Source organism: Homo sapiens, chromosome 4 (genome assembly GCF_000001405.40).
Source record: "Homo sapiens chromosome 4, GRCh38.p14 Primary Assembly".
NCBI lineage: Eukaryota > Metazoa > Chordata > Mammalia > Primates > Hominidae > Homo > Homo sapiens.
The window spans coordinates 168824304-168838611 of record NC_000004.12 but is presented as its reverse complement, the minus strand read 5'-3'; the positions used below and the strand labels follow the sequence as shown (position 1 = coordinate 168838611).

General features: G+C 43.5%; 1 protein-coding gene and 1 long non-coding RNA gene across 28 annotated transcripts in view, besides 1 other annotated feature; one reads left to right on the top strand and one right to left on the bottom strand.

The window, feature by feature from the left end:
* PALLD (palladin, cytoskeletal associated protein) overlaps positions 1-14308 on the bottom strand; it is a 431390-nt gene that overhangs the window by 89830 nt on the left and 327252 nt on the right. For 10 of the 27 annotated variants that reach the window (XM_024453940.2, NM_001166110.2, XM_047449867.1 and 7 more), the window contains exon 1: positions 6441-6517. The exons of the other annotated variants lie outside the window; for them this stretch is intronic. The gene's annotated coding sequence lies outside the window, so the exon portion shown is untranslated. Of the gene's footprint in view, positions 1-6440; positions 6518-14308 lie in introns of those variants that run through there. 27 annotated transcript variants of the gene reach the window in all.
* On the top strand, positions 33-7086 carry LOC124900809 (uncharacterized). Its single transcript, XR_007058361.1, has 2 exons — positions 33-5875; positions 6896-7086. It is a non-coding gene; the product is annotated as an uncharacterized LOC124900809 (long non-coding RNA).
* Positions 6069-6929: an enhancer, noted in NCBI's record as "H3K27ac hESC enhancer chr4:169752834-169753694 (GRCh37/hg19 assembly coordinates)". NCBI's record gives its function as "activates a minimal SCP1, AML or CMV promoter by ChIP-STARR-seq in naive H9 embryonic stem cells {active_cell/tissue: H9 hESC(naive)}" and the evidence as "EXISTENCE:reporter gene assay evidence [ECO:0000049][PMID:30033119]".

Here is a 14308-nt window from a genome sequence, read left to right as displayed (position 1 = left end):
ATATACTGTGGAAGGATGTTAAGAGTCAGAATTTGACCATGGGCAGATCCTGAGTGTACATTTCACCAGCTAAATTCAGGCTCCCTTTCTGCCAGGTGACTGTTTCACATCTCTCTCCTCAAACTGCACCCCCGGCCCCGCACTCCCTCCCCGACCCTCGCTCCCCACTGATGACCACACTCCCCATTCCACTAAGAAAACAGAAGCAACACAGAACTTCCACGAGCTTCCATTGCTCCTTCCACCCAGCCCTCATCTGTGCCCCCAGATTCCGCCTGTTTTCTGGGGCTACAGGAGAATCAGCTCTGTGCTCTTGGCTGAGGTCAAGCCCTCTGCTTGTGCACAAAACCCCAGCCGCTCTAGGACATCCCTCCAGCAACTGTCCTCATCTTTCCTGACCTTGGGATAGAAAAGGCCAAGCCCTTCACCAGTCATTCTTGGATACCTCCCCAGTCACTTGCTGCAGTAGAAGCAGTGACTGATGAGGGTGACATGTACTCAACATTTGGTGTTACGACATAAAATGGGTTGCTGCGAGAAACAATAGCGTATGTACTCCTGGACTGATTTTGTTATCTCACAGCTGTCCTTCAGCCTGTATTCTCTACTTGCCTGAACTGCAACCCCAACCTGGCATTCCTCATGCTCCCTAGATCTATTTTACCACATAGCACATAACTGTATCTGAGGCACTAGCTGTTTAGTTTGTTTTGCTTACTGTTCATCTCTTTCCACTGGCATATAAGCTCCACGAGGGCAAGGATTTCGGCATATTTGTCCATTTCATTCACTGCTTTACTCCCAGAGTCTAACACAGAGCCTGGGCCACAGGACTTGCTCCAAAAATATTTGTTGAATTAATGAGGTCCCAGACTTGCCATTTCTGATCTGTGTGATCTTGACAAATTACTTACCCTCTTAAAATCTCACTTTCATCATTTTTAAGATGGGAGTGCTGATAGTACTCACTACGTGGGATTGTGGTGAGGATTAAATGACATAAAATGTGTTCAACATTTTAGCACATTTTCTGGTTTGAAGTACTCAACGAACGGTATATATTCTATGATTAATTCGAATCATATCCATTAGCATCCAGGTTTACCTTGAGTGTATTCAGCTACCGATAGGTGCTGGTTTGGACATTCAGTAGACTGGCATGAAAAAGAAAAATAAGATGTCTACATATGTGCTTTCCTTCTACTACTGAAGACTATTTAAAAACTAACCTTCACTTAAAAAATACTGAACATACAACTAAGTAACATTAATGTCTAGGTCTAGGTTACTAAGTTCTCAGTAAAAATGATGTTTAGTAAGGAAACGATGTCAGTCAGCCTGCAGCTCATATTGATAAGCCATCCAAAATTGGTCCCATAGGTGATGACATCTAGACCTCACTTCTTCCGCTACCTGTGCTCTCTTCCCCCTCTTCTCTTTCCTCTGTTGTCACAAAGCCAGCTACTGCCAGGATCCCCCCTCCCCATCGCTCTGCAGTCCAGGGTGGGGTCTCTGTTAGCATGAGGAAACGTGAAAGGAAATGTATCTCTGTGTACCTTTATTTTCCCTCCAGGGCTTAAATGGAAAAAGAGAGAAGGTGGAGTCCCTTTTGCCATTGTAACTGGAATTAAAAACCTTAAAAAACTCAAGTTGGAGCTCTGAGTGCATTTTCCCACAAAAACCATGTTATATATAGTGGTTTGGTTCTATGGTACTATTAATAAGACAGAATACTTCAGCTATGATTTCTGGGCTGGCCTGGGAAACCACTAAATATGACATAGTTTCAGTGAAAAAGTGTGTTCAGGGTTCCCAGCAATGAGTTTTACAAACCCACAATCAGAACACAACCCATCTGAAAGCTGAGGGCCGCCTACTTCGCAGTAGGTTTGACAGCCTCACAAAGGCATCCGAATGTCATAGACGTCAACGCCAAGCTTAAGAGTCTCCTGCGTGGCGCTCCAGCAGTACTTCATCTCTGTTTGCCTGATCCCCGTTCTCTAATGTGGCGGGCCTACCTCACACAATTTTGTGAGAACTGAAGCACCTGGTTAGCAATAACTATTCAACAAAGGTTAGCTCTCTTCTCTCCCATTCATTGGTGAAATTTCAGTGTCTGTACTTTTTACTTGGTTTCATGCATTTTCTTATGAATCTATTTTTAACACTTCTATATGAAAAAAATACAAAGCTTTTGCCAGTAGAAACCAGAAAACGGTTATTGCTCATTTCTTCTGGCTGACACACCTTGTCTGCAAATGGCAGCTTCTCCCGCAGCAGGAAATCTTTTCCATCAAATAAGCCATTACGCCTTCCAACAGTCTCTGCCAAACTGAAAATCACCATCTTCACTTACCATAGTGGCAGAGCTTTGGCAGTTGGGCTAACGCGCATTGAGCAGGGAGACTCGGCACTGACATTAGCTAACCATCCCACATTTCCATCTTGTTTCCTCGTAGTCATTATCCAAAATACACAAGGAAGAGAGGCTCACCTAACTGGAATGGCTTATGTTACCAATTACGGTCAACCCTAAAGCACATAACCAGGAAGGCAGCTAACACTGACTGAGCAGGAAGAAATCTGTGCCCTAAGTAGTCCACGGAGTTAGGCAGAGAATTGTACCTGCCACCAGTTTCAAAATGCTCTTTCTCCTTCCCTGACACCTCAGGCTCTCCTTATTTCATTTTATCTCCATGTCTTTTCTACAAGAATGGGTCACTGTTTTCTATTCATTAAAACTCTTTGAGCCAGGCACAGTGGCTCACGCCTATAATCCAAGCTACTCAGGAGGCTGAGGCACGAGAATCGCTTGAACCTGGGAGGCAGAGGCTGCAGTGAGCCCAGATCATGCCACTGCACTCCAGCCTGGGTGACAGAGCGAGACTATGTCTCAAAAAAACAACAAAACAAACAAAAAACTCTTTGGATGAAACATTTCTCATCTACCATCTCTAATTCTTTATCCTCTCTTAAAATTTGATAACAGAGCTTCCCTGTTTTTTAAAAAAAATCCCTTAAATTCGTGCAATCTCAAAGAGATCTAGGGCTAAACACCTGGGAGACTGAACTAAGAAGAAATGAGTGTCTCAATTTCCTCTCTGTATGGCCCTGGAACAAATCCTCACCTTCTCTGCAGCTTTTTCTCAAATCTGGTCGAGTTCCATTTCTTGTATGGTGTCTCAAAAGAACATTGCTAGAATGAGCCAATACGTATATAGTACCAGGAGCACTTTCAAAGAACGCTTTAGTGCTCTTTTAATGTATTATTTTTAAAAAGTATATGGTTAGTGTCTATTTTCCCCATTTACTTGTAGAAGATTATTTGTAAAATACTGAATGGGAGGCAATTTTTGAAGTATAGTGAATTGTGATTACTCAGAGTTTATCCGGATCTCTTGAAATAAGTGCTGAAAAAGTGCCATACGTTTTGATACAAAATTGTTGAAGTGGAAAATATACACAAAAGAAAATGTCGAATACACCTTTTTATAGTTCCCAATGATTGTGAAAGAAATCTGGAAAGGGGGGAAATCAACAATTGTTTGGACAATTAAGAACTGTTGGAACACGCTAATAATTTCCCCTTGAAATAATGACTTCAGCACCTTGAGCAGTATGAACTCCACCAACATTGCCAGGAAATGCTTTATATGTTTCAGGAATAATTAGTTGCTTCAAATATAACAGAGTCAAAGGTTTACTGTAACCTAGGGAAAATAATATTTTGCAAAAATGCAAAAATGCAACTACCCTCAAAGGTAGTCCAAATAATATAGTTCATGAGCAAAGTTTTAAAGGCTTAAGACAATAGAGTAAAATTCTGAAGATCAAGTACAATGCAAGGTGGTGACATTTAATTTTTTTTTTATTTTTAGATGGAGTCTCGCTCTGACACCCAGGCTGGAGTGCAGTGGTGTAATCTTGGCTCACTGCAACTTCCACCTGCTGGGTTCAAGTGATTCTCCTGCCTCAGCCTCCTGAGTAGCTGGGGTTATAGGCACACACCACCACACCTGGCTAATTTTTGTATTTTTAGTAGAGACCGGGTTTCACCACGTTGGTCAGGCTGGTCTCGAACTCCTGACCTCGTGATCTGCCCGCCTCGGCCTCCCAAAGTGCTAGGATTACAGGTGTGAGTCTCTATGCCCGGCCTATTGTTACCTTTAAAAATATTAAAAGTCAACTAAAAACTATCTAGAGCTCATAAGGATCTACTGAAGCAACACTAAGGCTACTATGAGTAGGACACCTGTTTATTGTTTACTAAGTCAGTGGTCCTCACCTGGGACAGACTGGGCCTGTCGTTATTACATTATTTAAAGCAGGTGAGCTACCACACCATCCCAGCTATCAGAATTTTATGATTCATGAATTCCAACAATCACAATAAAAATAAAGCTGCATTATTTCCAACCATCCCCCATGCTCCTCACACAGGGCACCAAGTTTTCACATAGCCAGAGATGGTGTGGATGTTGGCATATTTTGCTACTTGCTGTACATGCCCAGTTTCTTAATGAATGCGGTCACTGGGAAACCAACCCCACTCCTTTTTCTAATGACAAAGTACAAGAATCAGTAAAAAAAATAAGTAAAGCTTAGGGATTGGGGGAAAAACTGTTTATTATCTAGCTCTTGTCTATCTCGTATGTTTATGGTTCAAGGATGTGCTATTTATTAACTGCCTCCCTCAAGTTATAAATCTTACACTCACACAAAGGCATAGGGGTACATTAGCTTCAAACTATCTCCTATATCCATTGATCTAAACAGACATGGGGAAAATCAAATTAACTCAAACCTCTTATCTAAATCAAAGTCTGCCAAGTCTGAAGGGGGAAAAAAATTGTTTTGGGGGGATGTGAAAAAAAAAATAGCAAGAAAGATGCTGTCTTTCTAGAAGCAACCCAAACCCAAATCCCTGGACAATTCTCTGGCTATCTTTTCCTTAGGTAGTGGGAGTTAAGGAGACAGTCCTGACAGGAGCCTGCATAACACAAATCAAGAAATTATCCTCACAGCCAAGGCTGGTGACACCATTCCTTAACCTGGCGGAGGGGAGCTTTTCAAGGCTTATGAACCAGGATCATATTATTCCATGTCTCTGAAGCTTGGGTCGGTCCCTCTGTCCTTTTCTCGTGCTAGTTTCTCTGTGATTACGCATTAAAATGTAGAGCCAGTCATCTCTGGCTCCTAGAGACTCCCAGGTTGATGAATGCACACCCGTCCTGGAATTTCGCCTGAAGACCAGTAACGGGACTCGGTGTGCCCGGGCCTGTTCGGGGCACGCAGCGCAAGACCCGGCTCCGCAGGGTGGGAAGATGCCCGAGCCCAGGGAGACCCGACCGAGACGCCCCCTCTCCTGCCCAGCGCGCCCCCTTCCGTCCCCAGCAAGAGAGCAAAGGTCCCAAGCCTCAATCCGGGCTCAAGCGACCAAACCCCTTTCTAGAGTCTGGACCACTCACCATTCGGGACAGAGCTGCCCCCAAAAGTTAAAATGAGACAAACGGGCGGGAAGCCCCCAGCCCCGGGGCGGGGCCGGCCTAGAGCCCTGCGCTCCAGCTTTGGGAGCTCACCCAGGCCCGGGGAGGGCCAGCCTGGCTGCTCACGGGACCCTCCCTTGTTGGCCCGGCCGTGGCCGGGAACCCACGCGTGGCCGGTGCGCGCTGCCAGTGCTGCAGCTGAGGTTCGGGTTCGGCCCGCGCCCGGCGTGAACAAAGCGGCTGCCAAGGCCTGGGACTGAGGGGACTGAGCCGCCGGCTCCACGCCGCCCCCAGGCCCAGAAGAAACACCGACTGCGGGCCGGGCACAGCACCCGGCCGGGGAAAGGACGCCCCGAGTTACGCGCAAACTTCCTTTGAATGGCGCCCAGGTGGGGTGAACCATCCCAAAGAAAGGAGGATGGGCTTGGGAAGGGAGGGCTCGGCTCAGGTCGGGGGGACCCCTCCGTCCCCACCCTCTCCCCGCCAGCTGCCAGGGAATGATGTCATCGCCTCTCCCGGCCCTCACCCCTGTCTCTGCCAGCCCCGCTTTCTCTGCTCTCCCACCCCAGGTCTGACCCCTCAGGGAGCGTGGCCAAGATTAAGAGAGGGGCGGGGGGCCGTGGGGGTGCGAGGTGTTCAGAGAAGAGTTAGGAGAGCGGGAGGGATCGTCCGTGGCAGCAGAGCATCTTCTCCCGTCTGGGCCCTGCCAAGATGATGCAGACATTCCTATCTGGAGCTCCGCTTTCAGGGATCTGTGCTCCCGCGGGCCGGGGGAGGGAGAGGGCTCGGGAAGGAACCGGCCGGGTGGAAAGTGCGCTGACGAGTCTCTTGTCCTCCCCGCCCCCACCCTGTCCCGAGCCCTGCACTCCCGACTCGCGGCCCACCCTGCACGCTGCACTCCCTTTAATTCACACATTTCTTCCACCAGCCTCAGGGCCGATTCCCCGCGCCTACCTCGGCTCTCCGGGCCGCCTCCCGCTGCTGCCCGATTCCGCGTCCGGAGCGAGCGGGAGCTGCAGCGGGCTCCGCGGACCGGGCGCGGGGCAGGTATCGGGCTTTATACCTCGCCCGCCGGGTGACTCAGGAGGCTCCGAGCCTTCACCCGCCGCCCTTCAAAATAAGAGTCCGGCGGCGCGGCGGGCGGGAGAGAGGAGGCGTGGCTCGCAGCTCTGGGACGCGGCCCCCAGGTTAGGGAGGCTTCCCCGCACCCACTCGTAACCTTGTCCCGCCCTTTGCATCTTTCTGGTCGCAGGCCCCTTCCTGGGGCAGCCAAGCTACAAATCGGGCTTTCCTGGAACGATCGAGAAGTGCTAATAACGGGAAAGAATTTAAGTTTTTTAGGCCCATAGATATGTTGTCGGCTTGTTAGGATGATTCTCCTCCGGTGTTTGTGTTTTTTTCCTTTACAGACTAAAGAGTGTCCAATAAACGCGACTCCAGGGCAGCGTTTTAGGGGAAAGCAATAAAAACTCACGGTAGAATGGAAGCTGCCCTGAAGGAATGGAACTGCGAGACTGGGGCTGGGACTGGGGCTGTGGGGAGGGAAAGCACATACAGTGTAAAAACGATTGTGTGACATTAAATCGAAAAGCACAAATCATCATGCAGTATATTTCTTTTCTAAGAAGAGGAAGGATAATTTTTAGATTTCCATTAATTAGTTTACTGGGTTCTGTGTAATAAAAAGCTAAATTCAGGAGCCCTTAGGGTGAGAAGAGTAAAGCATTTGATCTAGCAACATCTGAGGAACCCGGTCCCTATCCTATCCTGTGATCCTCTTAGCTCATAAACTACTGGAGGCCCTGAGTCACTTATTTTAACGCTCATCTACACAGGAACTTCTGTAGAAGTGTTTTCAAAGAGGAACTGGACTCATTCGTTCCAGAATTAATATTCTATGCAAAATTTGTGACAGATTGTGGGCTTAGCCCTAAATCCAGATCACCAACTTTTCTTTCACCAGATCAGCTAAGGACACCCCTGGCTCTGTGTATAATCCTCCAGTAGCTGGGTTGGCACACCATGTCACAACAATTTCTGTCTTCTTTCTCCTTCCAGAGTGTGCTCCTTGGCCACTGGGACCAAATCTTTCACACACAATAAGCTGTTAACAAAATGAATGCATGAATGAATGAATGAATGAATGGTAATATCTACCATTTACTGAACTTACTGTTGTGCCAGGCTGTTTCGGTAACGTGGTCACTCAGTAACTGCCAATAAATGCTAACTAGTTTTGAATAGCCAGTAGACCACTTGTTTAAAGGGTTTAGTACTGTAACTGTATCCTGCCGTCATTACTGATATCTAACACTAGCATTGCTAGGTTCACTGTCTTCAGCCAGGTAGTCTATTCCTCTCTCGGAAATATCTTTATTGACTTTTAAATGAATAACGATGTCTGTAAAATATTAAAAACCAAATATTGTTCTTTAAACAATAAACCAAAATTGAATGTCCCTGTGATTTTACTCCCAGAGATAAATTGTTAGCTGCCTAAAATATAGTCCTCCAGGCTTTTGGATGTGTATTTAAACACACACTTAAAATAGCTTAGATAATTGTTTCCATACAATTTTGTAACTTTTTTTTTTTTGAGACAGGGTCTCACTCTGTTGCCCAGGCTGAAGTGCAGTGGTGCAGTCATGGCTTACTGCAGTTTTGACCTCCCAGGCTCAAGTGATCCTCCCACCTCAGCCTCCTGAGTAACTAGGGCTACAGGCACGTGCCATCATACCCAGCTAATTTAAAACATTTTTTTTTGTTCAAGACAACGTCTCGCTATGTTGTCCAGGCTGGTCTCAAACTCCTGATCTCAAGTGATCCTCCCACCTCGGCCTCCCAGGCGTGACCACCGCACTCAGCCTATAACTTTTTTTTTTTTTTTTTTTTTTGAGACAAAGTCTCACTCTGTCACCCAAGCTGGAGTGCAGTGGCGTGATCTCGGCTCACTGCAACCTCCACCTCCTGGGTTCAAGCGATTCTCCTGCCTCAGCCTCCCAAGTAGCTGGGATAACAGGCGCCTGCCACCACACCCAGCTAATTTTTGTAGTTTTTGTAGAGATGGGGTTTCACCATGTTGGCCAAGCTGCTCTTGAACTCCTGACCTCAAGTGATCCGCCTGCCTTGGCCTCCCAAAGTGCTGGGATTATAGGCATGACCCACTGCACCTGGCCTGTAACCTATTTTTTTTAACCTAATAATATACTGACCATAGTCATCTTTCTGGGGATAATACAAAGCATTATCATCTCTTGCATTTTTGAGAGGGTGATAGACCAACAATTCATTGTCCTGGAACACAAACTTTAAAGAGTGAAAATCACTTTGCCTATTCTAATATTTCTAACAGTATTTCCCTGTTTAGCTTCACCTTTCTTTGAATTCTCAGCTTGTTTACGCCCATGTCAAAGGGCCCTTAGGGCTGCAGCAATGACATCACGTGGCCTGCAGCAGGGTTTTCTTGCAGGCTGTGATGGGACACTGACTAAAGAGTGCCACCAGATGAGAGTTAGGACGTGTGATCTGTGCCATTAACTGTGGGACTCTGAAGCTTCCTTATTTCCACAATAATGGGATTAATCTGATGGATTTTTAAGTTACGCTTCTTAAATTTTATGATTTTATGATTTAGGAGTCCTTTCACAACATAAAGAGCAGAAAGAATAAAACAGATGTCTGATATTACCACCTGTAGTGTTTACCGGCCATGGAAGGGACTGTGGGGTAGAATAGACTTGGAGAGTTGATTGGCTGTGAGAAGACATACGCACTTCCTTTACTCTGAGGAGACAGCAAAAGAAGGATGATCCATTAGATCTGTCATCTCTGTGTGTCTGCCTTATTCCAACTACAGGTGCCCGGAAAGATGCGTACACGTGGACCAGTTTTCACTTTTCAGTGCCGAAATCCATGAAGATTTAAGGCACTGATGCAAAACACTGAATATTCCAATGTTTGCAACTTTGAAGGTTTTACACACGAACCGTGGGAGGTGTGGATACATCTTGGCCATCACTTTGAACAAGCCTCAGAATTGCTAAAACTAGTATCAGTAGAAGCACTGATGAGAATTTCTGCCAAGTTTGAAAAAGAATATTCCATCCTCCTCTGAACACTGAAGATTCTGATCAAGTCTTCTCCTTCTATTACTTTTATTTCATTCTTCCTTGACTAAAACTTAGCGCTCTGTGGATTTGAGATAAGATGAAAGGGGCAGAGAATAAATACACAATGAACTTTTATTTCGTCAGGAGTGACACTCAAGGAACTCCCTCCAGCTTCGCTGGCTGTATCTGCCAGAGTCTCTGCTTTAGGCCGTGCATCTCTGGCTTTACCTTCACAGGCTTTGGCTCAGAGGCCTAAGGCTTCAAACATGCAAATTTACTTTGAGATGAAACATTGGGCTCAATTCGCCAAGTATTTGGGGAGAAAAGTGGAAAGGGTGAAAGTAACCTTCAAATCATTCCTTTTCATATTTTTCTCACAATGAAAATAGTGAAACATAGGTGGTTAAAAACTAAAACACTAAAACGAAAGACACTAAAAACCAACAGTATTCACTAAAGAAAGAAGATATTGGCAGTGAAACCAAATCACAGATCTATCTATTTATCAATCGACTGATTGATCTATCTAACTACTGACGGGTATTGCACACTATCTAGCTCAAAATGCTCAGCATAGGTAACATGATAATATTTTATAAAGTAGATATGATTAGCAAACCAAGTAAATGTCTTTTTACTGCTACCACAAATCGACATTGTTCAATCACGCTTTTCTAACTTAAGAATTAAAGCCCAAAATCTATATTTTCATTTATTTTATTTCCATGTAGCAGCAAAGGAATATTAATATATCTTCCGGCATTTTGCTTAATATTTTAATGAAAATTACCAAAACTTGAGATTTTCCTAGAAGATTCCTGGCTTCTGGATTGGCACATTTTCTACAAGGAGGCTTTTGCTATGTATTTCCTCAGAGTGATCAATGTTGTCTATAACAGATGTTCTGATAATCAGGTCAGCATCAGGATCTTGTTCCATTCACTTCTGGTGTTTTGATGTTTGTTGTTGTTGTTTTGAGACGGAGTCCTGCAGTGTTACCCGGGCTGGAGTGCAATGGCGTGATCTCGGCTCACTGCAACCTCCGCCTCCCGGGTTCACGCGATTCTCCTGCCTCAGCCTCCCGAGTACCTGGGATTACAGGCGTGCACCATCACACCCAGCTAATTTTTTGTATTTTAAATAGAGACAGGGTTTCACTATGTGGGCCAGACTGGTCTCGAACTTCTGATCTTGTGATCTGCCTCTTCGGCCTCCCAAAGTGCTGGGATTACAGGCATGAGCCACCGCGCCTGGCCTTTGATGTTATTTTTAAAAACTTGATTTAGCTCTTACTATATTTTTTAGAGTCACAGAATCTTGCCTGAATGGCCTGTTTCTTCTATTGTACTTGCTACCTTTGCAAGGGCTCCCAACTACATTTATCAAACAAGAACAAGACTAAGGAAATAACAGATTAATTATAGATTTTACCTGATATTGCTTCATAGTAATGTTATGTTTGGGAAAATGTTTCTGAGAGTAGAATGCTTAAGATCAGCTTTTAGTCCATTCATTTTTAAGAATAAGCAACTTTTAACAATCTTGGACTATTTTGAATTTGGACTCTGTAATTAAGTGTAACATTTTATACAAAACACATTTGTCTCCATATCAACAACTAGTAATTATTTTAACAAAAGTGAGAAACTTTAAAAAACCAAAATGTGGGTATTCTAAAGAGGCTCAGCCTCATGCATTATCTGATCATGAAGACAGACTAGTAGGGGAGGAGGGAAAGGGCACCCCTCCGAGGACAACTCATACTTTGAACATGAAAACAAATTCATCTATCCTATTGGTAAAGATAACTTTATGGCTCTTTGGTTTGTTCACAACTTTTTATTAAGATAAGGGAGAATGGATCGGGAAAAAAGAAATGGGACTGTTTGTACTTATATAGACATAACTAGAACCCAGTGGACATCAAATGCTATGTCACAGGGAGAATGACAACCAGGTCTGCAGTTGGAATGTAAAGAAAGGCCACGCTACGATAAACAAAAAACAGGCTGAGCTTATGAGAGTGAGGTAAGCCTTGAACATCCGAGACAATTCCAGAGGACTCAAAATCAGAGTCGGGAGGGGGCTGAAGAGATCATCTAGTGAAGGCATGTCCTGAAAAGAGCATGGCCTTTGGAGCTGGACAGAGTGGGGTCAGTTCCACTGTTTCCATGACCTTGAAATCACAAAGGTTTTGTTTTCTCATTTGTGAAGTGGAGGTTAAGGTATTTACCCTGGACTGCTGTTGAAAAGACACAGTGCGATGCTGCCATTGCAGTACCTAACATACTGTTTGGTATGTAGCAGGTGGGGAGCTGGTTTTTGTTTGTTTGTTTTTGCCTTTTAATTTTGTTTTTGCAAAACACAGTATTTAGTTTCAGATAATTAAAAAACAGAGTAAAAAAAATAATCTGAACTTTACTTTGGGCTGGCATTATGCCAATCATGTCACATGCATTCTCCTGTTTATCTGACTATAGAAACCATGAAGAAGTATCACTATAACTATCATCCCAGGGACAGTGAGCACAGAGAGGTTAGGTAACTTACCCAAGGGCACGGAGCTGGTAAGGGGAGGAGCGGAGATGTAAATCCTTAACTCCAGAGTCCAAGCTCCAAGGAATATATATGTTTGGAGTAAAAAATACATATTTATGGAAAGTGCATTCACCATCCATTCACCGTCCCTAAGATCTCCATTTTACCAATGGAGCAATTGATTATTGCCAAGTTTTATTGCGCATAGTCAGGTCTGCTTGATCTGAAATAGTTAAGGCAGCTTCTAAACATGTCCTGCTTGATCCACAGTAGAATCTGACTCACTATTGAGCACCCTTTTCCAAATCAAATGAGTTATGCTGGCTCTGAAGGAATCATCCACAGATTCCATGTGGATTACTAAAGAGGCATAGTGAGAATTTGCCTGTTTATGTGATTCTCCTGAATAAGTGGTGAAATACCGTTATCAGTGGACTAAATATTTGAACTTATCCTACATAAGAAAAACCTTAAGTTGTATCTTATATATATAGTGATGGATAATAGACAAAGATGGCCTATTTAGGCGAGGATTACAGATTTTACGTTAATCCCAGTGGCAATTCATGAAGTCATGGGTAAGATCATGCATAAAGTCCTCAGCTTGTTCTTTTAATACTATTAATATTACCTCTGGTGACACCATAACAAGGAATCTTGTGTCGCATTTCATGTAGATTTCCAGGGTGCTTAGAAAACACCCAGATCAGCCATGATTCCATTGTTGCTCGCAGAAATACAGGAAGTAAAACTCTCTCAGCAATGGAGCTGCTTAGGGTGTTGCAGCGCCGTTTTCAGAAGAATGAAGTCAATTCAAAGGAAACCATGGACTCCGACAGGCTATACATAGGGGACTATCACAAGAAGGAGGGAATTGGGTCTATTTCCCTAACTCTGATTAACCTGTCATCTCTGAAACCTCCTTCTACCCAGCACTTCACATCTTAAACTTGAATATCCATTCTTCTGGATCAATACACGAATCTTCTGCGTCAAATAAACGGGATTATGTTATCTGAAGTACTTTATTTTTCTCATTAGGCAAATACATAATGATTTGCTTCAGTGCTGAAGTTAAAGGTTTTCTAACAAAGATATCCAACTACTAAGAGAATCATTGAGATTATTTTGCAGTATATATCTTTAACAAAATAAAATGTACAAACCTAGACTCCAATATGGAAATGGAATGAGAAGAGAGAGAGAAGAGAGAGAATAAGGAGAAGTCAAATATTCCAATTAAACTTTCTTTAAATATAAAAATGTAATAAATGTATTTAAAATTAGAAAATTCTCTGAATATAGACCATAAGCTCCATAGGAGAGAATATTTGGTAACATTGGCAATTAAAGAAATGAATTTGGCCAGGCACAGTGGCTCACGCCTATAATCCCAGCACTTTGGGAGGCCAAGGTGGGAGGATCACTTGAGCCCAGGAGTTGGAGACCAGCCTGGGCAACATGGCAAAACTCCATCTCTACAAAAAATAGAAGCCAGGTGTGGTGGTGTGCGTCTGTAGTCCCAGCTACTTGGGAGGCTGAGGTGGGAGAATCGCTTGAGCCTGGGAGGTGGAGGTTGCAGTGAGCCAAGATCGTGCCACTGCACTCCAGCCTGGGTGTCAGAGTGATAACTTGTCTCAAAAAAAAAAAAAAAAAAAAAAGAATTTATCTGATATATAGTTTATATAATTGACAGTTAAAACAATTGACAATAATATTGATATTGCCTGTTACAGGCCCCTTAAGTGAGTTATACTAGGTCACTGCTGATACAATGAAGTACTAGATTTCAAGGAAAAAAAATTAAGATTTTTTTTTTACCCAAGATTTCCATAGTCGTAAATGTAAAAAATAATTCCATTGCTCCAAAGAAGTAAGATCATTATTCTTGTATTAGTATATGATATTTGTCTGTTTTTAGTAACTTTAGAAAAAGTTCAATGATTTTGAGAAAATTTGGTCAATTTATAAGATTTATCAAAAGATGTTTCAAATTAAACTTTGGTTCAATCTGCTATGTTCAAAGGAACTGGTGGCCTATGAATATTTTCCAATGGCTATTTCTTTTACAATATATAATGGATTTTAATAAGATATGGCTCATGAAAAGAGTTCAGAGAGAAGACTGCACTGAGAGAAATAAGAGTTTAGAATATCATTTAAAAAGTATTCACT